Genomic DNA, 27,345 nt, shown 5'->3' with positions numbered 1-27,345 from the left:
TCAGTGCTTTTGTATCTTCAGTTCAAATGTCAGCACAGTTAGAAGAAAAAAGGCAAATAATAGCTTATTATTATTATTCCTTGTTTTTTTGGAGACAGAGTCTTGCTGTGTCACCCAGGCTTGAGTACAGTGGCATGATCTTGGTTCACTGCAACCTCAACCTTCTGGATTCAAGTGATTCTCCCACCTCAGCCTCCCCAGTAGCTGGGACCACAGGTGTACGCCACCATGCCTGGCTAATTTTTGTATTTTTTGGTAGAGATGAGGTTTTGTCATGTTGGCCAGGCTGGTCTCGAACTCCTGACCTCAAGTGATCCACTTAGTATTATTATGAAAATAGTTTTGATGGCCAGGCACAGTGACTCACGCCTGTAGTCCCAGCACTTTGGGAGGCCAAGGTGGGCAGATCACCTGAGGTTGGGAGTTCAAGATCAGCCTGGCCAACATGGCGAAACCTCGTCTCTACTAAAAATAAAAAATTCGCCGGGCGTGGTGGCGCATGCCTGTAATCCCAGCTACTGGGGAGGCTGAGGCAGGAGAATCACTTGAACCTGGTAGGTGGAGCTTGCAGTGAGCTGAGATTGTGCCACTGCACTCCAGCGTGGGGGACAGAGCGAGAGTCCGTCTCAGAGAAAAAAAAAAAAAAAGAAAAAGAAAATAGTTTTGATGTTACAAGACTGCCTAGAATGGTGTCTGCAGACCACACTTAGTGAACTGTTGTCCTAGCGCTTAGTCCCTCAAGGCGAGAAGAGGCTCACAAGTTGGACTCACATGTGATCCTACAGCTCTGTGACATGCTTTTCAAAAATATTGTACAGGATAATGTAAATCCATCCTCACTACAAAGAAAGCTCAAACAGTACAGAATTAAAGTGAAACTTTCTTGGATTTCTCTGCTTTTTCAAATTCTGCTGTATCCCAGGTTAACATTAGCAGTTTGCTATAAGTCCTTACATAATTTTTATGTGCATGGACGTCTTACGTACATAACAAATGGCATCATACGGCCTGTATTGTTATATTATTTTCCCTTGGATTGAGTTACTTGAAATGTCTGGTGTTTACTCTTTAGTAGCCATTATTCCATCGTAGAATGCACATATTTTAACTATTTCCTTATTAGCATACACTACAGTTGTTGCCAATTTTTTCTTTTTGCTATTAACACACAGATTTAGTGAATACCATTTCATTAAACATATTTTTTAAGTGTATCTGAAACATTCTTTTTATTGATGGGAATGCTAAGACATAGAGTATGAATATTTAACACTTTAATAATTTTTGCCAAATTACGTTCCAAAATTATACTTCTGTTAACAGTACTTAAGATTGCCCATTTTTCTGATAACATTCATTGATGTTGTTAGTGTTTCCGATTTTTGCCCTTTACTTAAAGTCAGCTGCTGTATTCTTAGCACAGTGCTTTCTGTGACAGATGTTTCAGATGACAGTGCTTCCTGCCTGCAGGCTCATCTGTCTGCCCTGGTAGCTTTCAGGCTCTCAGGCACCCTCCCTAATGGACCGACTGGGGTCAAGGGCTCTGAAAATGCTGCCCACCCTGGCCCAAGGGCCTCCTGAACAGGTAGGCTGGGGGTGGGGGTGAGTCCGGTGGCTTAGATGACAAATGGAGGTAGAGGACGCATTCTCGCCTGTTATTTCGATTTTTTTCTCTCCTCACCCTGACCGTCACGTTCTCACCTTTTCCACCTCAATCCCCAGTCACACTAGCTTCCCAGGATTAAAATGGTCTCTCTCTCATGAAACTTGTTTAGAAATCTAGAAGCATTAAAAAAAGGAAAAAAAAAATCTAGAAGCATGCACGTGGCTTAGAAAATGCCTTTGTGTTGCCAGATGCAGTTCCCTTGCTTTGACAGTGGCATTCAATGTGGTCTTTTAAAAAAAGAAACTATCTATTCCTTTAACATTTTTTTGAGATAATAATTACATACAGTGAAATGGACAGATCTTATGTATATAATTGAGTGAGTATTGAAAATGTACCACCTGTGTCATCACTGCCTCCGTCAGGCTGCAGAAAGTTTCCATTACCTCTGGAAGTTCCTTCTCGTCCCTTCAATCAATTCCTACCCCCGGGAGACAAGCACTGTTCTGATTTCTATTACCATAAATTAGTTTTGTGTGTTCTTGAATTGTAAATAAATGGAATTGTACTGTGTTTATTCTTAAATTGCTGTCATCTTTTGCCCAGGGCTGGGACTAGGGGGGAGGCAAGAGAGTGTGGGATCTACACTGCACACCCCAAGAGTGAGATTCTCCGAGCAATCACCTCCTGAAAGTTTGTACGCCGGCATCTCTCTTGCTTCACCCTTGTCCTGGCCCTGCTTTTGGACAACAGAGTGCTTTTGAGGTTCAGCCCTGTTTTGGGGAGATGAGTGGTACATTACATTTTATTTTTATTATTTATTTATTTTTTGAGATGGAGTTTCACTCTTGTTTCCCAGGCTGGAGTGGCATGGTGTGATCTTGGCTCACTGAAACCTCCGCCTCCTGGGTTCGAGTGAGTCTCCTGCCTCAGCCTCCCGACTAGCTGGGATTACAGGCGTGCGCTATCACGCCTGGCTAATTTTTGTATTTTTAGTAGAGACAGGGTTTCACCATGTTGGCCAGGCTGGTCTCGAACTTCTGACTTCAGGTGATCCGCCTGCCTCAGCCTCCCAAAGTGCTGGGATTACAGGTGTGAACCACCGCACCCGGCCCAGTGGTTCATTTTTAACTTGTACGAATCTGCTTGTTTGTTTCCCCGTTTGCTGTCCGAGGACATCTGGGTTGTTTCCCAGTAGCTGCCTCTTGTGAGTATAGCTGTGGTTAATTCACATCCACATCTCATGTGCTCCTATGTTTCCATTCTCTCGAGTGAGCACCCAGAAGTCAAATTGCTGGGCCTTTTAATGAGTACGTGTATAACTTCATAAGAAATTGCCAAACTGTCTTCCAAGGTGGTGGTATGATTTTATGCTCCTACCTGGAATGTATGAGATTCCATTTGCATTATATTTTCACCAGTATTTGGTGTGGCTGTTTATTTTTAAAACATCCTTTATTTATTCCAGCGGTTGTGTGGCGTTACCGACTTTTGGCTTTAACTCACGTTCCCTAATGACCAGTTCCCTAGTCAGTGAATATGTTGAGCCCTTTCTTTTTTTTTTATTTTAAAATTTTTATTTGAGACAGAGTCTCGCTCTGTTGCCCAGGCTGGAGTGCAGTGGCGCGATCTCCACTCACTGCAAGCTCCGCCTCCCGGATTCATGCCATTCTCCTGCCTCAGCCTCCCGAGTAGCTGGGACTACAGGCGCCCGCCACCACGCCTGGCTAATTTTTTGTATTTTTTTAGTAGAGATGGGGTTTCACTGTGTTGGCCAGGATGGTCTCGATTTCCTGACCTCGTGATCCACCCGCCTCGGCCTCCCAAAGTGCCAGGATTACAGGCGTGAGCCACTGCGCCCGGCTGAGTTCTTTCTTTTGCTTAATAGCTTTGTTTTTTATTTTTATTTTTATTTTTATTTTTTTATTATTATTATACTTTAAGTTTTAGGGTACATGTGCACAACGTGCAGGTTTGTTACATATGTATACATGTGCCATGTTGGTGTGCTGCACCGATTAACTCGTCATTTAGCATTAGGTATATCTCCTAATGCTGTCCCTCCCCGCTCCCCCCACCCCACGACAGTCCCCGGTGTGTGATGTTCCCCTTCCTGTGTCCATGTGTTCTCATTGTTCAATTCCCACCTATGAGTGAGAACATGCGGTGTTTGGTTTTTTGTCCTTGTGATAGTTTGCTGAGAATGATAGTCTCCAGCTTCATCCATGTCCCTACAAAGGACATGAACTCATCATTTTTTATGGCTGCATAGTATTCCATGGTGTATATGTGCCACATTTTCTTAATCCAGTCTATCATTGTTGGACATTTGGGTTGGTTCCAAGTCTTTGCTATTGTGAATAGTGCCGCAATAAACATAGCTTTGTATCTGTTCCTTGGGAAGTGTCTGTTCTTAGTCTTTTGGGAAATTGTATTGGTTTGCTTTCTTTCTATTATTGATTTTTCCAAGTTCTTTATTCTGGATACAAGTTTTTCATCCAGTGTATGTCTTGTCAACATTTTTGCCCTGTCTGTGGCTTGTCATTTTCTTTAGTTTTTAAATTATTAAAATATACATGACTACTACTGTAAGACTGACTGTTGTTCTTTTTTTTTTTTTTGAGGCAGAGTCTTGCTCTGTCACCCAGGCCAGGATGCAGTGGCGCGATCATAGTTCACAGCAGCCTCTAACTCCTGGGCTCAAGTGATCCAGCTTCCTGAGTAGCTTGGAATACAGGTGTGAGCCACCACACCTGGCTAATTTTTTCTCTTTTGTAGAGATAGGGTCTCACTATGTTGTCCAGACTGGACTTGAACTTGTGACCTCAAGTGGTTCTCCCACACTGGCCTCTCAGAGGGCTGGGATTATAAGCGTGAGCCACCATGCCCTGCCGCTTGTCTGTTTTAAAGTGTTTAATTTGGTGGTTTTTAGTATATTTGTAAGGTTGTACACTCATACCTACTGTCTAATTCCAGAAGATTGTCATGGTCCCCAAAGGAAGCCCAGTTGGCCGAAGTTCCCTGTTCTCCTTTCCCCAGCCCCTGGCAGTCACTCCTCTGCTCTTTGTCTCTGGGTTTACCTGTTCTGGACGTTGTGTATCAGTGGAATCGCACCATAGGTGGCCTCTGTGCTGGCGCTTTCCTCTCAGCACGTTCTCAAGGGGCGTCTACCCTGTGGCACGGATCAGCGCTCCCTTCCACCACATGGCACGTGGTCATACCCCATTGTGTCATCAGAGCTCATTTCAGTGACCCATTCATCAGCTGTAGACATTTGGGTTGTTTCACTTTCTGGCTATTACGAACATTCAAGTACAGATATTTGTATGAGACCTTTTTTTTTCACTTCTCTTGAGTGGAAACACTGGGTTACATGGTAGCTCTTTCTTTTTTAGGAATTGCCAAACTATTTTCCATAGTAACTACACCATTTTACATTCCCACCAGCAGTATATGAAGATTCCGGTTTCTCTGAATTTTTAACCCTTATTATGATGTCTTTTTTCTTATGGTTAGCCTCGTGGGTGTGGAGTGGTATCTTAAAGTGGATTTTTTTTTTTAATGACTGCATGATTTTTCATTGGATGGATATACCATAATTTAAACAATGACTTATTGTGGGACAAAAAATTATTTCCAGTTACATTTTATGATCTTCATTGTTTATATCAGTAGTAGTTTATTTTTTTAATGGGATTTTATTTTTTATTTCAATAGTTTTTGGGGAACGTGGTGTTTGATTGCATGGAAAAGCTCTTTAGTTGTGGTTTCTGAGATTTTGGTGCACCTGTCACCTGAGCAGTGTACACTGTCCCCAGAGTCCATTATATCCCTCTTACACCTTTGTGTCCTTATAGCTTAGCTTCCACTTATAAGTGAGGATGTGAGATGTCTGGTTTTTCCATTCCTGAGTTTCTTCGCTTAGAAGAATGGTCTCCAACTCCATCCACGTTGCTGCAAATGCCATTATTTCATTCCTTTTTATGGCTGAGTAGTATTCTATGATATATATATATATATAGAGACCACATTTTCTTTATCCACTCGGTTGATGGGCATTTAGGCTGGTTCCGTATCTTTGCAGTTGCAAATTGTGCTGCTGTGAACATGCGTGTGCACGTGTCTTTTTCGTAGAATGACTTCTTTTCCTCTGTAGGATTGCTGTCTCAAACGGTAGCTCTACTTTCAGTTCTCGAAGGAATCTTTGTACTGTTTTCTGTAGTGATTGTACTAGTTTCCATTCCCACGAGCAATGTAAAAGTGTTCCTTTTTCCACCACATCCACGCCAACATCTGTTATTTTTTGACTTTTAAATTATGGCCATTCTGGCAGGATTAAGGTGGTATCTCACTGTGGTTTTGATTTGCATTTCCCTGATAATTAATGATATTTAGCATTTTTTAAATCTTATGTGCTTTTTAATTTGTATTTCTCATGGCTAACGTGTGGAAACGTCAGTGGCTGCATAGAACAGAGACACAAACATTACAGAATTAGTTCAGAAAAGTCATGAAACAAGTAAAAAACAACTACAGCTGGCAGCACCAGCAGCCAGCCCTGGCAAGGGCAGAGAATCTGATTCCAGAGTTGCCGCAAAATTCGGAAGACATGCAAGAAGCAAGAAAGTATAATTCATACATGGTGGAGAAAGCAATCAATCAGTAGAAGCAGAATATCAATAAAAAGAAACTATAAGGAGAAACCACATAGAAATTCTACAGATGAAAAGTACAGCAACTGAAATGAAAATTTGGTAGATAAGCTCACCGGCATATTTGAGCAGCAGAAGAAAGAATCAGCAAACCTGAAGATAGGTCCGTCAGGATTCTCCGGTAAGGGGAATAAAGCAGAGAGAGAAGAAAAATGAAGACAGGATACGTGCTTTCTCCACTTCTGTTCAGCATTGTGCTGGAGGCTCTACCCAGGACGTTTATGCAAGGAGAGGAAATAGAAGACATCCAGATTGGAAAGGAAGAAGAAAACTGTCTCTATTTGCAGAAGACATGATTTTATACATTAAAAAACTGAAAGAATACACATTTACAAAATTATTAGAGCTAATAAACAAGTTCAACAGAGTTGCAGGATACAAGATCAATATTTAATATTATATTTAATATAAGATAATGTTTAATATTATACGTTAGCAGTGAACAATCTGACAACAATTATTATCCCCAGAGATATTTTGTCTAATTTTCTCATTGGCATTTTGCTTTGTTTCAGATGCTACAGAAACAAGCCCAGTTTCCTTGACAGTTGCACTATTTTTATTACAAAACCTCACTAGACATTTCACATTTGAAAACTCTCAGTCGTAAATTAACCATGGCCATCAAGTCTCTGTGATCTGTGGACAGTTTTTTGTTTGCCTCTAATGCTTGTCTGGAAGTTCGGCATGCTTTAGGCTAGATGCTCGGTCTTAAGCAAAGGCCAGTCTCAGAATGAATATTAGCCAGAGATTTCCTGAGATACCTAGAACTGGTGAGTCCTTGATGAGGAGCTCCGGTGCACGCTGGGCCAGGTGGTGGCCACTCTGCCTTTGCCCTCATTTCCTGCTTGCTCAGAGCTTCAAGGTGAGCAGGAGGGAGAACCCAGGGCCTTCACAGGCCTTTCCGAGCCTGTGCGCAACATGCACGGACATGGCCCCTTAGAATCTCAGTCCCCATGGACAGCTCATTTCTTAGCTTTTCTGTGTCAGCGTTCTGGTGAGTCTTTTGTTTGCCACTGCTGTCACTCAGGCATTTGTGATGTTGAAGTGGTTGACAGACTCATTCCCCAACCAAGTTTTTGCCCTGGGAGAGATTAGGGGAGGTGAAATCAAGACAGGACTTTCTTTCTTTTCTTTTCTTTTTTTTTTTGAGACGGAGTTTTGCTCTTGTTGCCCAGTCTGGAGTGCAGTGGCACGATCTTGGCTCACTGTGACCTCCGCCTCCCAGGTTCAAGCGATTCTCTTGCCTCAGCCTCCCGAGTAGCTGGAATTACAGGTGCCTGCCACCACGCCCAGCTAATTTTTTGTATTTTTAGTAGGGATGAGGTTTCACCATGTTGGCCAGGCTGGTCTCAAACTCCTGACCTCAGGTGATCCACCCACCTTGGCCTCCCAAAGTGCTGGGATTACAGGCGTGAGCCACCATGCTCGGCCTAAGACAGGACTTTTAATTGGGATCTTAAGGTAGTAAGTGACCCAGATGGGTCAAGTAATAACTCTTCTTTGGGAATGGTATTTTGAGAGATGCCAGCCCCATTCTGTTCCCTCTGTCCTGGGAATGTAGAGTGCGATTTTTCTTTTTTTTTTTTTTTTGAGACAGAGTCTCGCTGTTGTCGCCCAGGCTGGAGTGCAATGGCGCGATCTTGGCTCACTGCAACCTCTACCTCCCGGGTTCAAGTGATTCTCCTGCCTCAGCCTCCTGAGTGGCTGGGATTACAGGCATGCGCCACCATGCCCGGCTAATTTTTATATTTTTAGTAGAGACGGGGTTTTACCATGTTGGTCAGGCTGGTCTCAAATTCCTGACCTTGTGGTCCATGTGCCTCGGCCTCCCAAAGTGCTGGGATTACAGGCATGAGCCACCGTGCCCGGTCTAGACTGATTTTTCAAGGCCACCATGGAGTTGTGGTGTGGGGGCTGGGACCAGGGTGAGTTAAAATGCCCCAGGCGCACTCTTCTTGAGAGCCACCTGATTTTCTTGACCAAACGTTCCCGGATTGCTGTAAGCCTTTGGTTAGTTTTCAGAGTTCAAAAATCTGATTCTGACCGTTTTAGTCACTCTTCTGTTGCTTTTATGGTGGAGTGAACTTCCATAGGCTCTTACTCTGACATTTTTACTGAGATCTTAATGGTGTTTTGGATGAGTAAAAATTTTTGATTTTGATGAAATCCAATTCATCAATTTTTTCTTTTGTGATAGTAGTTTTTCTTTTCTTTTCTTTTTTTTTTTTTTGAGACTCTGTGTCGCCTAGGCTGAAGTGCAGTGATGTGATCTCAGCTCACTGCAACCTCCGTCTCCTGGGTTCAGGTGATTCTCCTGCCTCAGCCTCCCAGGTAGCTGGGATTACAGGCGCCCGCCACCACACCCGGCTAATTTTTGTATTTTTAGTAGAGACAGGGTTTCGCCATGTTGGCCAGGCTTGTCTCGAACTTCTGACCTCAGGTGATCTGCCCGCCTTGGCCTCCCAGAGTCCTAGGATTACAGGCGTGAGCCATCGTGCCCAGCCTAATTTCTGTGTTTTAAGAACTGTTCCATTTCATGGTTGCAAATTTATTTTATGTTTTCTACCTGTACATTTGGGTGAATTCCCCTCTTCTTGAGGTCCTCCCAGTATCCTGAGGTTCCTGTCTTTCCAGCAAGTGGTCTTAACCATCTGGAAGATGGGAGAGTTTTGTTGCTGTTGGCTGCATGTGCACCGCCATCTTTGACCCTTCAGAGTAGTTTGTCATGCTTTATTGAATGAGCATTGTTCTCAGATGACACGCAGGTAAGGCACTGGTTGTACGGTTTGTCCAATTCTATCACGTTAAAAAGGAGGAAAGGTTCTTATTGAACCTACTGCTGTGAAAATTAAGGAGACTCAGTAAGAGTTTCTGAATTCTGGGATACCAGTGAAGGTCAAAGATCATTTGAAAATATTTCGTTTTTATCAAAGCTGAGTTCAACAAATTGTTGTAGGTTAAATAGCTTAAGAAGAAAAGGCAATGACTTCCCCTTGTATCCAGAAAATAGAACATAAAACCAGCATCCACAAATAACCTCAGTAAAACTTCCCTCTTCAGTTCATTTAGTTCTGTGTAATTAATTCTTATCCTGTTAGATCTAGGGTTTATAAACTCATGAAACCATTGCTTCTTGCCTAAAGTGAATTTGGAAATGTGGACTTAACCTCCTGGTGTGTTTGAAAGTGGTGTAAGGGTTGCTCTTGCCTCCAGAGCCTGTCCCCACAGGTGTCAGTCATGGCGATGTCGGCTGCAGTCCTTCTCCAGAGCCACTGAGACTGCCCTTCTTGTTGAAGATGCAAACTCTGGCCTGTGAGTTTATCCCGAGCTTTCAGGCAGGCGTTTACAGAGTCGAGCAGAAACTTTTCACAGATGACAAAGACTTGATGGCAATGGTTAATTTCTTACTGATAATTTTTAAGTGTGAAATGCCTGATGAGGTTTTATATAATTTTCAAACATGAAATGTCTGATGTGGTTTTAATAGTAATGCAACTAATGAGGAAATTGGGTTGTTTCTGTGGCATCCAAAACAAAGATAAAAAGGCGATTAAAAAATTAGACAAAATATTACTAAGGATAATAATTCAGCCTGTTTCAAAGAAGTCAGTGGATGTTAACATCTGATTCATTGAAATGGGTGAACATAATTTTTATGAAGAAAACAGTCTTGAGATGTACAATGTTGAGACAAAATATTCCCGGAATATACCAAAGCATATCAAATGAAGAGACTGGGTAAGTCTGAGATAGAGTGAACCATTTTTAATTTCATAAAACCTCATGAATACATCTGCTGTACATGAATGCATAGCACTAGGCCACTTGAGAACCAGTGGCCTAGAAAGTGCCAGATTCAAATTAAAGAAGTAATGTGGCTAATCATTTTAGGTCATTGAAATTGTGGCTGTAACACTATGTTGTTACTGCCTGATATCAGGGAGAGCACTTGAAGGACTCGGATACAGAAAAACTTGACCAGACTATTTCATAAGCATTTTGGTCTGTGTTTCTCCTGACATTAAAACATATTATGGAATGTGAAGGCATTGACAGATCTCCAGGGATTTCCACTGAAGCGCACCATTTCTGAAATACGTCTTTTAATAACATATTAGCGATTCACAGTTCACCTGGAGAAGGCTGGGTGTCTCTTCTGATTTCACAACCCTGGCCACACAGCTCACCAAGCAAACAGTTATTACTAGCGTATGTTTTTTAGAGGAGCTCTTGCCTATCTTTTGATAAATTTAATCCTAAGAATTTTGTATTATTGATGATAATTTGAGTAGAATTTTGAAGACTGTCACCTTTCCAATATTTGCTGTTATTGTATAGACACAGTATAGTTTACTATGTTGACAGTGTCCTGTGACTTTGCTGGATTCTCGTGTATAGAGACAGTATAGTTTACTATGTTGACAGTGTCCTGTGACTTTGCTGGATTCTCGTGTATAGAGACAGTATAGTTTTAGTGTTTTGACAGTGTCCTGTGACTTTGCTGAATTCAGTCTTAGTGCCAGTAAATTTTTTTTTTTAAGATTCCTTAGGCTTTTTTTGTATAAAAATAGTGCTATTTGCAAATAAAGACAATGTTACTCCTTCCTCTTGAGCTTTATACCTTTTGTTTCTTTTTTATCACATTATTACATTGGCCGGGACCTCTGGTACGACGTGAAATAGCAGTGGTGGTAGCAGATAGCTTGTTCTTATTTTTGATCTGGGGGAAAATGTTCAATATTTCACTCTTTTATTTATTTATTTTTTTCCTGGAGACGGAGTCTCACTCTTCACCCAGTCTGGAGTGCAGTGGTGGAATCTCGGTTCACTGAAACCTCTGCCTCCCAGGTTCCAGTGATTTTCCTGCCTCGGCTTCCGTAGTAGCTGGGATTACAGGCATGTGCCACCATGCCCAGCTAATTTTTGTATTTTCAGTAGTGACGAGGTTTTGGCATGTTGGCCAGGCTGGTCTTGAACTCCCAATCTCAAGTGATCCACTCACCTTGGCCTCCCAAAGTGCTGAGATTACAGGTGTGAGCCACCGCACCCAGACTCATCCTTAGACTCGTATTTAATTAAAGAAAATGTACAATGCAGACAGGATGGCTGATGATAGTCCTTTTTTCCTGCCTGATTTTGGTTATTTGTGCTTTTTCTCTTCTCTCTTAATATCTTCAGATGTCTGCAACTTTATTAGCCTTTTAAAGTAACTGATTTTTGACTTGGTTGATTTCTCACCGTTGTAGTTTTTCCATCTGTTTTTAATCTTTATTTCCTGTCTTTGGGTTTATTTTGCATGCTTACAAAACTTCCTGGGTGATTGTGTGGGATGGCCTGGACGGAAGGGACCAGGGCTTCAGGAGGAGGATGAGCCCCACCCTTTCTGTGGTGGGAATGCCTGAGCTCTGTTGGGCTGCACATGGCTCCTACTTTGGCAGTCATTCAACAAGCCTGAGGAATGTGGCTTACTGGTAAAATAGAAAAGTATGTTGCCAGAGTTTTTCTAGGACCAGTTTGGGGGATGGAGAGGATGGTAGATTGAATACATACACCTACCTTTTTCTTTCTGAAACCTCATACTGCAGTGAGAAGTGTGGTGGGTTTTTTTTTTTTTTTTTTTTTTTTGGCAAAGGTTCATGTGAATAAGGAGAAAGTAAAGTCATAGCATTCCTATTTCAGAAGCTGGAATGTAATTGGAGAGTTGGTGATGGACTTAGCTGACTTGAGAAAACCAAATGCTAATTTGGGAGTGGGGAAAGCTGAGAGCTAGCTTGATCTGTGCTGCAGAGTTTTGACCACGCTTGGGAGCTGTGACTGCTTACTTCCAGAGTGGCCACACGAGGACATAAGAGTGTGTTGTGAGCCGGCTGCTCAGAGGCCCTGGTCCTTGCTCAGCCCAGTGCAGCCGGGGCGGGCATTAGGCGTGCTGAGCAGGCGGTAAAGCCGATGGTCGTGCACTTGGCGCTTTTCGGGACGGGGTGCCTTATGGACTACGGTAAGTGAACTCTGTGTGACCGCCGAGATGACCAGCTTTGTCCCCACTCAGCATTGAGTCTGGGCTGGTGGAGCGTTGTCCACTAAGCAAGAGTAGAAGGGCCTCCTGTGGGGACTGAGACTATCCAGAGGGAGGACAGAAAGGTACTGAAGTCGCCACCTCACAACTCTGTTGCCGTGAAACTTACAGGTGGCCGTCACAGTCGCTCATTCAGAGCCTCCTAGACATCTGAAGGAGTCTCTGATGTAAAAGGTATAGACCAAGCAAACAGAAAAACAGTGTAGAGGAAATGGAAATTATGCAAGGATAAAACTTCCAGGAAGAAACCTCTCATAAGCATCCTCAGTGAGATAAAAGTGGTTATTTTAACAAGAGAAGATAATGAAACAAGAAAAATGTCCTCTGGAAGAAGCACATTCAGTGAACAAGAAGAGTTCTGGGAAGTTAAAACTACATGAACAGATATGGGGAAAAAATCAGTGTAAGTGTTGGAAAAGTTAAGGAGATCCGGAAAGAAAAAAAAGATCAAACAGGAGAAACGGAATACACTCTGAGGATCGGGTTCTGTGGACCACATTCAACAAGTACCGCAAAGAAACGGCGGGGAGGACAGCATAATGAAACAATTGAAAAACCCTCTCTTGAGCGTCATCCTCTTCTAGACTGAAGGAGCCACCAAGTACCCAGTCCAGTGGATGAACGTCTGTGATCAAAGACCATTGCCATGGCATGTTGCTGGACCCCAAATATCAGGGTAAAGACAGCATCCTACACACCTTCAGAAGGATGAGAATAGGTTACATACGAAGCGGGAATCAGGATGGCTTTGTGCTTCTAGACAGCAGCATTGGAATTTAGTGCACAGTAAAGCAATGTGGTCTAGAGTTGCAGGAAAATAATTTTCAGCCTTTGATTCTATACCCAGTGAAACTAACAGTCGCATGAGAGAGCAGACTAAAGGCACAATGGAGATTTGCAAAGTCTTTAAAAAAGTCAGTCATCCTGGCCAGGCATGGTGCTTCATACCTGTAATCCCAGCACTTTCAGTGGCTGAGGTGGGAGGATCACTTGAGCGCAGGAGTTGGAGACCATTATGGGTAATGGTATAGGAGAGTGAGACCCCATCTGTCCAACAACAGCAACAATAGCAGCAGCAGCTGGGTGTGCTGGCCTGCTTGTAGTCCTAGGTACTCAGGGTACGGAGGGCTGAGGCAGGAGGATCGCTTGAGCCCACGAGGTGGAGGCCACAGTGAGCTATGACCATACCACTGCACCCCAGCCTGGGTGGCAGAGTGAGACCCTATCTTAAAAACAAATTATCTCCCTCAAATCTTTTTTCAGAAAGCTACTGGAGGGTGCATTGTACTAAGGAAGAGAGAGACTGATGACTGAGGAAGGATTGGAACGCAGGGAGCAGGATATCCGTCACTGGGGGAGAAGCAGCTGAAGATGATGCCTGTGCCCGGGCAGATGGTGCTCAGTCCTCAGAGCAGGAAGTGGTGCCGAGAAAGTCTCCCCAAAGACGAGATTGCCAGGCAGCCCGATGCCGGGTGAGCATGGACATCTCCAGAGGAGATTTGAACAGTTTAAAGAGCCAGGGTGGAATGAGCGATAAACAGACAGCTAAGCAAGTGAAAAACCCCTTCTCCTGTTAGCTTGAGGGGAAGCACAAAGTAGGAAGGAGTTGGAAGTCACCATGGTTTCCTTTGTGGCCTCAGTGTGAGTGGTTGAGCACCCAGCTGTGCTCAGCTAGACGCGGGGCTCAGCCAGACGCGGGGCAGCTAGAGCTGTGGTGATGGTGGTACCTGCGGGGCGGCAGAGGGGTGGTGGGAGCACAGAGCCATGGCCTCCTCTTCCATCCTGAGAAGTCACAGGTAATGCCCCAAACTGAAGAATTAGGAAAGTGGCAATGAAAGCCTATCGTCTAGAGGAAGGGAGGTCCGTTTCAACATAATTGACTCAAATAACTTAGAGTGTTTGCTTCTGAGGCTGGGAACTGGGCCAGGAGATGCAGAGTGGAGTTGGGGATGGCTGCTTGCCATAACAAGCCTTGTAGTTTGACTATGTACACTTTGTTTATGTAACTTCACGAGGAATACGTATACATGGAAGAAAAGGAGATTCGACTGGGAATGCCAGGGGCATGCTAGCAGGTGCTGTAGTCTCAGCCAGAGGCATGTGTGCAGGGTGCCTGGCACCGTCTGGGGTCTTCTGTGCGCACAGACCGCGGTGTGCACGCTCCCAGGAGCCATCTGATGGGGCAGCCTCGAGCACCTCTGACTTCTGACTTCGCCCCACGGGAGCCCATCTGGGGCTCCAGCCTTGACCTGGCAGCCAGCAGGGCTGGGATGGGACTGCGGCCAGCCACGTGGGTTCTCAGCTGGTTAGGGCCTCGGTCCTCTATCCCTTACCTCTGTCCCACGGAGACCCGTGCGAGGGCCCATCAGGCACTCGAGCTGGCACCACGAGGACTACTGACGGCTTTGCTGGATGCTGCTGGGAAGTTGAGCCGGCCAAGGTGGCGAGTGGCTGCGCCTGGGCTGCCCCGTCCTGGCGGCGGCGCCCTCCCGTTTTCTGTTCTGGGAAGCACACGGTGCAGGCAGTGTTTGTGCCTTTTCCCAGAGGAGCCCTTTGTCCTGAGGAGGCGTGGATGTTCTCTGGAGACCCGGGGCCTTTCGCAGCGGCACCGTGACTTCCTGCTGCTGGGCCCTGGGCCCTGTGTGGAGTCGAGGCCTGCAGGGGCGAGAGTCAGACGAGAGTTGGAGTCTGGGGTTCACATGGGATTCTGCAGCTTCCCAGCGGTGTAATCTTGGGCCAGACACGTCCCACCCGAGCCTCGTGTGCTTGTCTGTTGAATGGGAAGGGTCGTGGTGTCTCGCAAGGCTGTGAAGAATGAAAGCTGTGTGGTGAGGAATAATGGCAGAGAACACTCACCAGGCCCTTTCCAGGTGCTGCTCCAAGCACTTCCTGGGCCTTCACTCCAGCAGTCCTCCCTGCCACCCTTTGAGGTGGGGGCACTGTTGTCATACTCATTTTATGAGTGAGGAAGTACAGGCAGGAGAGGTTAGCAGCTGTCCTGAGGACTCACAGCCGATGAGTGGCTGGGATCTGAACCCACACAGCAGTGTTGCATTGCCGTGTGCTCTTCCCATCAGACTTAGGCCTCGTGGTGATGAGCTTGTGTGTCTATCCCAGGGACCCTCCAGATGTGGCTGATTTCTGGCATCTCTTACGGGTCTGGTCTTGGGCTGCGTGGTCTCATGGCCCCTTTGGCAGCCTGCATGGTGCCCTCTTACTGGGCACGGTGAGGCCTCAGGAACACAGCAGCTCCACCCTCCAACTGCTGGGCTTCTCTGCTGCCCTTTGCATGGCGGAGGTGACCCATATGTGTCCCATCTCCACCCTCCAGCTGCTGGACTTTTCTGCTGTACTTTGCATGGCGGAGGTGACTATACGTGTCCCATCTCCACCCTCCAGCTGCTGGGCTTCTCTGCTGTCCTTTGCCTGGTGGAGGTGACCCATACGTGGCCCATCTCCACCCTCCAGCTGCTGGGCTTCTCTGCTGTCCTTCTCTGCTGTCCTTTGCACGGTGGAGGTGACCCATACGTGTCCCATCTCCACCCTCCGGCTGCTGTCCTTCTCTGCTGTCCTTTGCAGGGTGGAGGTGACCCATACGTGGCCCTGCTGTAATCCGCCAAGCACTTCCGGGGGTGAGGTTGAGGAATCTTTGTGGGGCATGTGTGCACGTGTGTGCATGCTGTGGCTCCAGCACCACAGTGTTGACAGTCCTGTGAGCCTACTGGGTAAGAGCCTAGGTTGAGGCCTGCTGCCTCCTTTGGTTGTGTGGCCTCAGGCAGGTTATGGAACTGCACCCATGTTTTCATCTTTAAATTGGGGAGAATGAGAGTGCCCTTCGCTCTGCTGGCACGATACGCAGGAAACGTTGCTTCTCTTCAGCAGATTATTAGGATTCTCTGAAAGTTCTCCCCAGTTCTCTTTTCTACCCCATTCATTAATGGCAGCCACCAGTGGCGTAGCAGCAAGGAAAATTGGGCCGTTTTGAAGCACTATCGAGTTCTGCCTGTCTTGCTAAATCATCTGTGTTCCAACTGTGCTCTTTGAACTGTTGAAGGCCAGAAGTTGTTTTGCGTTTGATCACCTATAACCGCCAACCCCCCATGTGTTTCTGCCTGTGTTTAACTGGTCACAGGGAGCTTGGGGCTCCTCCGGTTCCCATCCTTGGGAGAGGCAGGCCCATCCACTCAGTACCCACGGCAGGCACCTGGTTCTCATCTCTGACGCCCCGACTTTCCCTTCTCAGCCTGTGTCGCCTTTCCTGTGATTTCCTCTCCTTGCCTTCCTGGGATCCTGCTAGTTCCAGCCCATCCCCACTGCCGCTACGCCACTTGGAAACCCTTTCTCGTGCAGTGGCCACCTTACCGTCCCTGGCTTCACTTTTGCGTCTTGCAACTATTCTTCACTCCAGCACTTGGAGGGATCTGCCTGAGATGAAGCAATGACCACGAGACCCTGCTCAAAGCTGTTTGTCTGTCCCTGCCGATGTCACGATGAAGTCCTCATGTCTCCATGTGGCTGACCAGAAGCCTCCTGCCATTGCCTGGCTCTCCCGCTTCTCTGTCACCCTCGCCTCAGCCTCTGCACCAGCCACACCGAACATGAGTTCTGTGCTTTCTCCCACTCCCTCTGCCCTCCCACTTGCCCTCCCCTTTCCCTGTTACGGCCCACTCCAGCCCCGAACACTTAGTGGCTTTGAACAGTGCTTGGTAATTTTTCAGGATTCTGCAGGTTGCCTGGGGCCAATCTGGTGGCAGTTGGGGATGGGACATCCAGGATGGCTTTATGTGCACGTGTGCTGCCTTGTTAATGGCCAGGAGGCAGGGCTGCCTTCTTTCCTCAGGGGCTCTCTCTGGCTAGGACGAGCTGCTTCACGTGGCTGCCAAAGCCCATAGGGACAAGCCCTGGCATGCAGGTTCCTTAAGCCTGTTGGTTGTGGTTGCAGTAGCTGTGGCCAGAGCCTGGCCCGGGTGTTTGTGGAAGGGACGACCTGAGGGCACGAGTCCGGGAGGCAGGGCCCCTTCGGATGCATTCATCATTTAGGGTTTATCTGCATCCTGTCTCGTCTCAGGAAGCCTTCCGCAACCCCTCCACCCAGACTGTGGTCCAGCCCCTGCTCCAAGTGCCCCCGGTGGGCCTTTGTGCTCTCAGTCCTGGCCGACCCCTCCACCCAGACTGTGGTCCAGCCCCTGCTCCGAGTGCCCCCAGTGGGCCTTTGTGCTCTCAGTCCTGGCCGACCCCTCCACCCAGACTGTGGTCCAGCCCCTGCTCCGAGTGCCCCCAGTGGGCCTTTGTGCTCTCAGTCCTGGCCGACCCCTCCACCCAGACTGTGGTCCAGCCTCTGCTCCATGTGCCCCCTGTGGGTCTTTGTGATCTCAGTCCTGGCACCTTGACCCGCTGCTTGTTCTGCTCTCCTTTAAACTCCATGCACCTGACCTGTTAATTGCACGCAGCGCGGAGCCTGGCACCTGCAGTGTAGACACACTGGCCACCGCTCAGTGCAAGAGGGCCCCTTTGCTAATGTGCACAGCTCTTTATGCCTTTTTTCCTATGCCTTTTTGGATTGGAGCAAGAGATTTTTTTTTTCCAAGTAAAGAACAATTTATGTTCCTAAATACTTTTTTTCCTTGACATGACGAAGTTGAGCAAGGTGGCTATAGAACTTTTTTTCTTAATTTTATTGCACAAGTAATGTTCTTTACAAAGTAGGGAAATACAGATACATAAAAAGAAGACTGCCAATCCCCCGTAATCCCACCAGTCGCATCCCTACCCGCTCTTAGGAGATTCCGGTTTACCTTTGTAGATTTTCACTGTCTACATGCGGACTTTAAAAGGTGCAGTCCTGCAGGCGAATGTGTAGCCGCCTGCGTTTGCGTCATAGGTCCCGAATGTCCTTTCTGCCACACAGGAGGCCATCCCACGCTTGTCCTGTCACGGATCGTTTGCCTCCTGTGAATATTCAGGTTGTTTCCGGTTCTTCCTGTTCTGAACAGCGCCAGGACAAGCACCGGGTACACATTTTTGCATTTTAAAACACATTTAGTAACTCATTCTTCAGCTGGGGAAAAGCCCACGTAAGAGCCCATCAGCAAGTCCGAGCGCGTGTTCCTCCCGCTTCAGCCGCCATCCCTGGCTCCTTAGCGTGTTCCTCCCGCTTCAGCCACAATCCCTGGCTCCTTAGCACACTCGGAATAAAACCTGAGTCCTCCCGGTGGCCTCTGGGCCCCACGCCCCGTGTGTCTGCCCCCTGCTCCAGGCTTGTGTTCTTCCTCCACCCTCCCAGAGCTCCTTGGTGTTCCGGCCTCAGGACCTTGACCTCGTGGCGCCCTCCACGCGGGAGTATCGTCCTGTGCCTTCTCGCGGCTGGTTCACCCACACCAGCCACATCATCAGAAGGAAGAGATTCTTAGGCGATTTTTGTTTGCTGAAGGAGAATCACAGATCAGGATGAGGTCTCCTGGTCCCTTCCTCCCTTTTAAGGACAGATAACTGAAGTTCAGGAAAGCCCAGGCCACACAGCAGGCCAGGGACCAGCTGGGGCCACAGCCCAGGCCTGCAGGTGCATGGCTGTTGCCTTTCTAGAGTTCTGAGGCCTTTTCTCTCCCTTTATTGCTCAGCAAGTTCAAAGAACATCTCGCTAATGATGCACCTTTTTCTGAGTTTCTGTTCGTTAAAGTCCTTTGTTCCCACATTGCCTTTGATTGTTTCTCTAGAAGCCAGATTTACTTGATTTTCAATTCACTGTTCTTTTTTTTTCTTTTTTTAGACAGTCTCGCTCTGTCACCCAGGTTGGAGTGCAGTGGCACGATCTCGGCTCACTGCAACCTCTGCCTCCTGGGTTCAAGCCATTCTCCTGCCTCAGCCTCCCGAGTAGCTGGGACTACAGGCACCCACCACCACGCCTGGCTAATTTTTGTATTTTTAGTAGAGATGGGGTTTCGCCATGTTGGCCAGGCTGTTCTTGAACTCCTGACCTCAAGTGATCCACCCGCCTCGGCCTCCCAAAGTGCTGGGATTACAGGCGTGAGCCACCATGCCCGTCCAATTTACTGTTCTTTACTCTGCAATCTGCTGCCTCTTTGCCAAAATAAATCTTTGCAGGTAAGATAGGTGCGGTGGGGAGTGTGAAATTTATTACAGAATGGTTATTTTGCTTCTTAAAAAATTTTTGTTTTAAGAGGCAGAGTCTTGCCATGTTGCCCTGGCTGGTATCAAACTCCTGGCTTACACGATCCTCCTGCCTTGGCCTCCCAAAGTGCTGGGATTACAGGCATACACCATCATGCCTGGTCTAAAATATTGTGTTTTTTTTTTTAATTTTTTTAAGAGATGAGGTTGCCCAGGTTGGAGTGCAGTGATGTGATCATAGCTCACTACTGCCTCGAACTCCCGGGCTCAAGTGGTCCTCCCACCTCAGCCTCCTGAGTAGCTGGATTACAGGTGCCCACCACCATGCACGGCTAATTTTAATTATTATTATTATTATTATTATTTTTTGAGACGGAGTCTCGCTCTGTTGCCCAGGCTGGAGTGCAGTGGCGTGATCTCGGCTCACTGCAAGCTCCGCCTCCCGGGTTCACGCCATTCTCCTGCCTCAGCCTCCCGAGTAGCTGGGACTACAGGCGCCCGCCACCATGCCCGGCTAATTTTTTTTGTATTTTTAGTAGAGACGGGGTTTCACCGTGTTAGCCAGGATGGTCTCTATCTCCTGAGCTCGTGATCCGCCCGCCTCAGCCTCCCAAAGTGCTGGGATTACAGGCATGAGCTGCCGCGCCCGGCCTGCTAATCATGACTAAAGGTAGAACAGTCAGGAATGTCACCTGTTATCTCTGAAGTCATAGTCCCTTGGTTTTCCCTGACCTGCCTGCTACTGCGCCCACTTGCAGCAGCACCTCCGTTGCCCAGTGAAGCATGCTGCCCTGGTCTTACTGTTTCACCGGCACTCTCCTATCTGCGATGCCACTGTCCACAGCGGGGTTGCTTTAGGGTTTCGAGCTCACCTGGGGCCTTCCTGGGTTCTAGCCCCGTGAGCTACAGGCACTTCTTTGTAAAAGGGGATTCCACCAGTTAGGCAGATTCCGGTTCAGTCTCCAGCAGCCCGGGGCCCTTCCTGGAAGAGTGCTTTGTGAGCGGAGTGCGCCGCCCAGGTGTGTAGTGGTGCTTCTCAGGCCCATGGGCTGCCCTTCCCTGGGCCTCTTCTGTTTGAGGCCCTTGTCACTGGGTTCGCCTGGCATGATGATGGAGGCCCTGCAGCTCCCTGCCAGGCGTGGTTCCGCCCAGGTCATTCTCCCGGCCCAGCTGCTGTGGACAGTGGACACACGCTGTCACAGCCTCAGGCCGGCCGGGCCACGCCTCCCGGAAGCGGGCCTGCTTGTGTGTGGTTGCATCCCAAGCTCTCCACTTGCTGCCCCTGTTCTGAGCTTCTTGCCGAAGTTGTGTTTGGGGCCATTATCTAGCTTTCTTTTTGAACGTTTAAAGCATTCAAAAGATCAGCTTTTCCAAAGAGTGAGGAAACAGGGAGAGAAAATTATGGCATTTGTTTGAAAGGTTCTGAGGGCTTTTTTTTAGCTTGAACAGTTCAAACAGCGCCTCTTGTTAATCAGGAATGTTCTGGCATCCCTGGGGTGGTCACACGGGCTTAATTGGAACCCAGGCTGCTTTGAAGCCCTTGAGATCCTTCCTGAGCTGGGAGAAAGAGTGCGAGGGCAGCAACTGTAAAGCCGGCATTTCTTCATTTTATTTACATGTGTCTGGGGACCCTTGTAACTCATGTCCCTGCAGCAGTTGAGCCAAGTTGCTGACTTGTGGACAGCTCAGAGAGATGGGGGCCAGTTTCTGGCAAAAGAGCTGTAAAACATGGCCTGGGTCCAGGGCTGCGGCGGGATCCCCTCCTGGGAGGCGAGGTCTGGATGGACCACGTCACAGTCGTGGTGGCGTGGACTTTGCTGCTGGCGGCCTGTTCTTGTCAGAAGTTTCCACATGGGAGAACGTGTGGTTTTACTGAAGTCACTTAATGAGTGACCCTAATAGCTCTAAGACGTTCATCAGTATGGACCCCAGGACTTACTTCCTCTTTCGCAGAGCATGTGGACCCACAGTAACCACACTGGAGTTCCAGGCACAGGTGTACCCTGGGGGCCGGTCATTCTGCGTACACAGACCTGCCTTTGTCAGCGGGGCTGTGGGCAGCATGGGGTGGCCATCCAGCCATGGCCATGTTGCTCCAAGCCCCACCGTGGTCCTCAGGGGCACTCTGTCTCGCCCTGAGCCTCCAGCCACCTTGCCCGTCAGTCTTTCCCTGTACCTCTTGGGGATGGGGAGTCTGCCACCTAGCAAAGCACCCACTTGTCCCACCCCTTCCATTCTGTTGAGCTGAGACGCGTGTTTTGGTCGTTTCGTGCCGTGGACACCACCTTGGTTTAGTGAAACACGGCGCAGAGTCCCCTCTCCCCTGGACCACGTTTCCCCATTTCAGCTCCCTGCTGTGCACGGCTGCTTCTTCCCGCTCTGCAGAGGGTGGTCCTGGTGGCTGGAGTGCGGCAGGCAGCAGCATCCTCCCATGGTGGCTCGCATCCCAGAGTGTGACCGTGGGTTCATGCTGACGGCTCAGGCATCCCCTGAGCCTGGACACTGAAGTGTACAGATTGAGGTGTGTTGTTGGATGAGTCATGACAAGTGGAACATGTGCACTCGTCCAGATAACACACTTCTATCAGTCCAGAGTTCCCGGGGTCCCCCCAGTCCAGCCCTTCATCCCCGGCAGCTGTAGCTTAGCCTTGTTTGTTGTAGAACTTCCTATAAATTCTTCCCTTTCTATTTTTTTTCTTTTTCTTTTTTTTTTTGAGATGGAGTCTCACTTTGTCGCCCAGGCTGGAGTGCAATGGTGCGATCTCGGCTCACTGCAACCTCCACCTCCCGGGTTGAGGCGATTCTCCTGCCTCAACCTCCAGAATAGCTGGGATGACAGGCGTGAGCCACTGCGCCCAGCCGTATTTGTATTGCCCACCTTTTGTTTCGTTGAATCTGTGCTCAGGTGTCACCTTTCCCTAGCTAGAGCCCTTTCCTGGCCCTCCCGGGTCAACATGCCCCCTTCCCTCAGCCTCAGGCTTTCCACTCTTCTCCAGATCCGGCCACTGGATCAAGCCACTGTCACCTCCTCTGGGCCTTGGGGATGTCACCTGCCCACTCTTGTCATGGTCGGCCTCCTTAGCGAGCCACTCAGCTCTAGCTGCCAAGGACTCTGTCTGTTTGTCCATGTAGTGTCCTTGCTGGGCACACAGCAGGTGCTCAGTTAAATTTGTTCACTGGATGCAGATTCTGCAGGCATCTTCACAGATTATGCTGATGGAGCAGGTGTGCCCTACCACCATATGTTTCTACAATTGATTTTTTTTTGGTGCAACTGTCAAAAAATTTATTTTTCCTCTACCACCCGCAACCCCCCCCCCCCCCATTTTTCCTGCTTCTTAGTGTGGTTTTAGACTCTGATTCTGTCACTTAACATATCTGCTGTCTCCATTTGATGTGACCTACAACCTGATAGGCATGCCGTCTGCCCCTGCTCGGGCGATGGGCGTGGGCACCAGCAACCGTCACAGGGGTCCAGGGTTTTCCACTGACTGCCGGGTGCCCTCAGCGCAGAGCTCCTGCAGGAGGGTCGAATTGTCTGTTTCATAGACCAGAAAACTGAGGCTCAGCTGGGCCCTTCACCTGGCTGCCTCCAGAGTGCGGGCTTTCTGCTGTGCCAGGCTGTTCTCTTGCCTCTCCCATTCCTTTGCATCAGTCGGCACTCTGGAACAGTGCCTGAGGATGTTAGAATCACCTTATGTCTCCTCTGGAAAGAGGCCAGTGGATAGAGAAATATTTATTTCTGATCTTGTAGTCTCTGTTTATACAGCGGTTCGTTATACAAGTAACCTATTGAGAAGAGGACATAGGTGTCTGCATGCATCCGCTTCTCAGTGAGTCCATGCTGGACTGTAACTGTTCCCATTTTCCTGAGGTGGGGGGTTGAGGTTTGGAGAGCTCAGAGTCACAGATTCGCAATGAATGGACTTAGAATTGAGTGCTTGACTGACTGCAGACACTAAGGTGTTAACTCTGCTGCCTCTTTATGCTTGGGATGGTTTGCAGAACCTGCTTTTTGAAAACAAGACTATTTACATGCACGTTTCTGTTCCCAGTAATTCTTGGCATGGATGAGGGAGATGCTTTGTGTCAGATTCGCATGGTGAGGAGGGGGCAGCTCTGAGAGGAGCCAGGCCCAGGCTGCCTCCAGGGCGTCCAGTGCTCCCCAGGCTTGCCTAGGAGAGTGTCGATTCCTGCTGCACAGCAACTCTCATGACCAAGTTTAAAATGCATTATACGTAGAAAAGTGTGCTTCTGTGGCTCACGCCTGTAATCTCAGCACTTTGGGAGGCCAAGGCGGGCGGATCATGAGGTCAGGAGTTGGAGACCAGCCTGGCCAACATAGTGAAACCCTGTCTCTACTAAAGATACAAAAAATTAGCCAGGTGTGGTGTCATGCGCCTGTAATCCCAGCTACTCTGGAGGCTGAGGCAGAAGAATCGCTTGAACCGGGGGGGCAGAGGTTGCAGTGAGCCGAGATTGTGCCACTGCACTCCAGCCTGGGCGACAGAGTGAGACTCTGTCTCAAAAAACAAAAAACAAAGAATACATACTGTCGCCTGTGTGCCCATTCTCAAGAAAAAGGAAAGTTTCTTTGAAAACATGTGGACCTTCCCTAGTTCCATCCCATTACGCCCCCAACCCACACTCCCAGAGCAAGCCCCTGGGCTCTGTGATCACTCCTGAGTTTTGTAAACACTGTGGTGCTCACTCAGTCCTGCTCCCTGGAGGCCTTGGCCGCCCATCCTTAATGTGCCGGTTTGTGCCTGTTGCACGTCATTGTAATTACATCATTTAATTAAATATGGAAGCTGATGAAAAATAATTATGTGTAGAGCAATGTTTCTGTGAAGACAAAGCTGAATGCTTTGGAAAGTCCCAAAGGAAAATTGCTAAAAAATTGCTATTGAATAAAGCAAATAGTGAAAGATTATGAGGAAAAGTTGTAAGGTCTGGGAAGATGACAGGGATCCACTTTAAAGAAACAAAGCTAACAATCATGAGCGGTGTGTCGTGGACATGGTTCATGCAAAAAAAAAAAAAAAGATGAAACTCCAATTAATGGACTCATGTTCGAAGAAAAAGTTTGCAGCTTGAAAGATAATTGTGTGTTTTTCTGTTTTAAGTTGAAATGTTTGAGATACACGCATCATTTGATTCCTCACTTAGCCAACTTCTGGGATCCATTACGTTTTTTTTTTTTTTTTTTGTGAGTGGTGGATTATAGATAACTTTATTTTTATTCTTTGTGTTTTCCTCTTTTAATGGATTTTTTTTAAGATATCATTTACCCCTTTAAGTTGGTTTTTTGTTTGTTTTTTTTTTTAGTATTTATTGATCATTCTTGGGTGTTTCTCGGAGAGGGGGATTTGGCAGGGTCATAGGACAATAGTGGAGGGAAGGTCAGCAGATAAACACGTGAACAAAGGTCTCTGGTTTTCCTAGGCAGAGGTCCCTGCGGCCTTCCGCAGTGTTTGTGTCCCTGGGTACTTGAGATTAGGGAGTGGTGATGACTCTTAACCAGCATGCTGCCTTCAAGCATCTGTTTAACAAAGCACATCCTGCACCGCCCTTAATCCATTTAACCCTGAGTGGACACAGCACATGTTTCAGAGAGCACAGGGTTGGGGGTAAGGTTATAGATTAACAGCATCCCAAGGCAGAAGAATTTTTCTTAGTACAGAACAAAATGGAGTCTCCCATGTCTACTTCTTTCTACACAGACACAGTAACAATCTGATCTCTCTTTCTTTTCCCCACATTTCCCCCTTTTCTATTCGACAAAACCGCCATCCTCATCATGGCCCGTTCTCAATGAGCTGTTGGATACACCTCCCAGACGGGGTGGTGGCCGGGCAGAGGGGCTCCTCACTTCCCAGACGGGGCGGCCGGGTGGATGGGCAGGGGCCGCCCCCCACCTCCCGGATGGGCGGGGGCCGCCCCCCACCTCCCGGACGGGGTGGCTGGCCGGGTGGGGGCTGCCCCCCACCTCCCGGACGGGCTGGCTGGCGGGCGGGGGCTGCCCCCCACCTCCCGGACAGGGCGGCTGCTGGGCAGAGGGGCTCCTCACTTCCCAGACAGGGCGGCCGGTCAGAGATGCTCCTCACCTCCCAGACGGGGTGGCGGTGGGGCAGAGGCACTCCTCAGTTCCCAGATGGGGTCGCGGCCAGGCAGAGGCGCTCTTCACATCCCAGACGGGGCGGCGGGGCAGAGGCGCTCCCCACATCCCAGACGATGGGCGGCCGGGCAGAGACGCTCCTCACTTCCTAGACGGGATGTCGGCCGGGAAGAGGCGCTCCTCACTTCCCAGACTGGGCGGTCGGGCAGAGGGGCTCCTCACATCCCACACGATGGGCGGCCGGTCAGAGACGCTCCTCACTTCCTAGATGGGGTGGCGGCTGGGCAGAGGCTGCAATCTCGGCACTTTGGGAGGCCAAGTCAGGCGGCTGGGAGGTGAAGGTTGTAGCGAGCCGAGATCACGCCACTGCACTCCAGGCTGGGCAACACTGAGCACTGAGTGAGTGAGACTCCGTCTGCAATCCCGGCACCGCGGGAGGCCGAGGCTGGCAGATCACTCGCGGTCAGGAGCTGAGACCAGCCTGGCCAGCACAGCGAAACCCCGTCTCCACCAAAAAATACGAAAACCAGTCAGGCTTGGCGGCGCGCGCCTGCAATCTCAGGCACTCAGCAGGCTGAGGCAGGAGAATCAGGCAGGGAGGTTGCAGTGAGTCGAGATGGCGGCAGTACAGTCCAGCCTCGGCTCGGCATCAGAGGGAGACCGTGCAAAGGGGAGAGGGAGGGGGAGGGGCAGGGGCTCCATTATCGTCTTGATGATTCTGGGTAGGAAACCTTGCAGTGATATATTGCTGCCCCATTTATAGTGCCAGTTATTTGCATTGTTATGCATAGCTGAGCGTCAGTTAGGAATGATAGAATTGTTTTGTTACAAATGTTTATAATTAGATTTTCTCTGCATTAATTTGTTGTGGGAATTATTTTTCTTTTTATAAAATTTTTATGTAGTACCTGATTCTGCAATATAAGGTTGCAATACTAGGCTTTGAAAATTACTTATTGAACAGCTATTGTATTTTCTTGGTACAGAATATTGAAAACATTCAAAAAGTATCCAGTGGCTAGCCCGGCATGGTAGTGGGTACCTGTAATCCCAGCTACTCTGGAGGCTGAGGCAGGAGAGCGGAGATTCCAGTGAGCTGAGGTCATGTCACTGCACTCCAGCCTGGGCGACAGAGCGAGCCTCTGTCTCAAAAAAGAAAAAAAAATAGGCCGGGGGCGGTGGCTCACGCCTGTAATCCCAGCACTTTGGGAGGCCGAAGCGGGCAGATCACAAGGTCAGGAGATCGAGACCATCCTGGCTAACACAGTGAAACCCCGTCTTTACTAAAAGTACAGAAAAATTAGCTGGGCATGGTGGTGGGCGCCTGTAGTCCCAGCCCCTCGGGAGTCTGAGGCAGGAGAATGGTGTGAACCCAGGAGGCGGAGCTTTCAGTGAGCCAAGATTGCGCCACTGCACTCCAGCCTGGGCCACAGAGTGAGACTCTGTCTCAAAAAAAAAAAAAAAAAAAAATAGGATCCAGTGGCAAGCCTCCTGCCATGTTCTTGTTCTCCAGCAGGAGGCCATTGTTATTTTCTTGTTTATCTTTTAGATTTTTTTTTTTTTTTTGAGACAGGGTATCATTCTGTCTGTCACCCAGGCTGGAGTGCCGTGCGCGATCATAGCTCACTGTAGCCTCTGCCTCCCAGGCTCAAGAGATCCTCCCGCCTCAGCATCCTGAGTAGCTGGGACTATAGGCACTCCCCAC

General features: G+C 48.3%; 1 protein-coding gene across 5 annotated transcripts in view, besides 4 other annotated features; it reads left to right on the top strand.

Moving 5' to 3' along the window:
* MAD1L1 (mitotic arrest deficient 1 like 1) overlaps positions 1-27,345 on the top strand; it is a 417,151-nt gene that overhangs the window by 45,506 nt on the left and 344,300 nt on the right. The window lies entirely within an intron of this gene.
* Positions 18,485-19,158: an enhancer, noted in NCBI's record as "H3K27ac-H3K4me1 hESC enhancer chr7:2207917-2208590 (GRCh37/hg19 assembly coordinates)". NCBI's record gives its function as "activates a minimal SCP1, AML or CMV promoter by ChIP-STARR-seq in primed H9 embryonic stem cells {active_cell/tissue: H9 hESC(primed)}" and the evidence as "EXISTENCE:reporter gene assay evidence [ECO:0000049][PMID:30033119]".
* Positions 21,113-21,323: a silencer, noted in NCBI's record as "fragment chr7:2205752-2205962 (GRCh37/hg19 assembly coordinates)". NCBI's record gives its function as "represses an EF-1alpha promoter that drives an FKBP-Casp9 reporter gene in an ReSE screen in K562 erythroleukemia cells {active_cell/tissue: K562}" and the evidence as "EXISTENCE:reporter gene assay evidence [ECO:0000049][PMID:32094911]".
* Positions 21,113-21,477: a biological region, named in NCBI's record as "ReSE screen-validated silencer GRCh37_chr7:2205752-2205962".
* Positions 21,148-21,477: an enhancer, noted in NCBI's record as "active region_25509". NCBI's record gives its function as "activates an Ori minimal core promoter by ATAC-STARR-seq in GM12878 lymphoblastoid cells {active_cell/tissue: GM12878}" and the evidence as "EXISTENCE:reporter gene assay evidence [ECO:0000049][PMID:35858748]".

The sequence above is a fragment of the Homo sapiens genome, chromosome 7 (genome assembly GCF_000001405.40).
Source record: "Homo sapiens chromosome 7, GRCh38.p14 Primary Assembly".
Lineage (NCBI taxonomy): Eukaryota > Metazoa > Chordata > Mammalia > Primates > Hominidae > Homo > Homo sapiens.
Note: the sequence above shows the minus strand (reverse complement) of the source record. Positions and strands in the feature narration are given on the sequence as shown.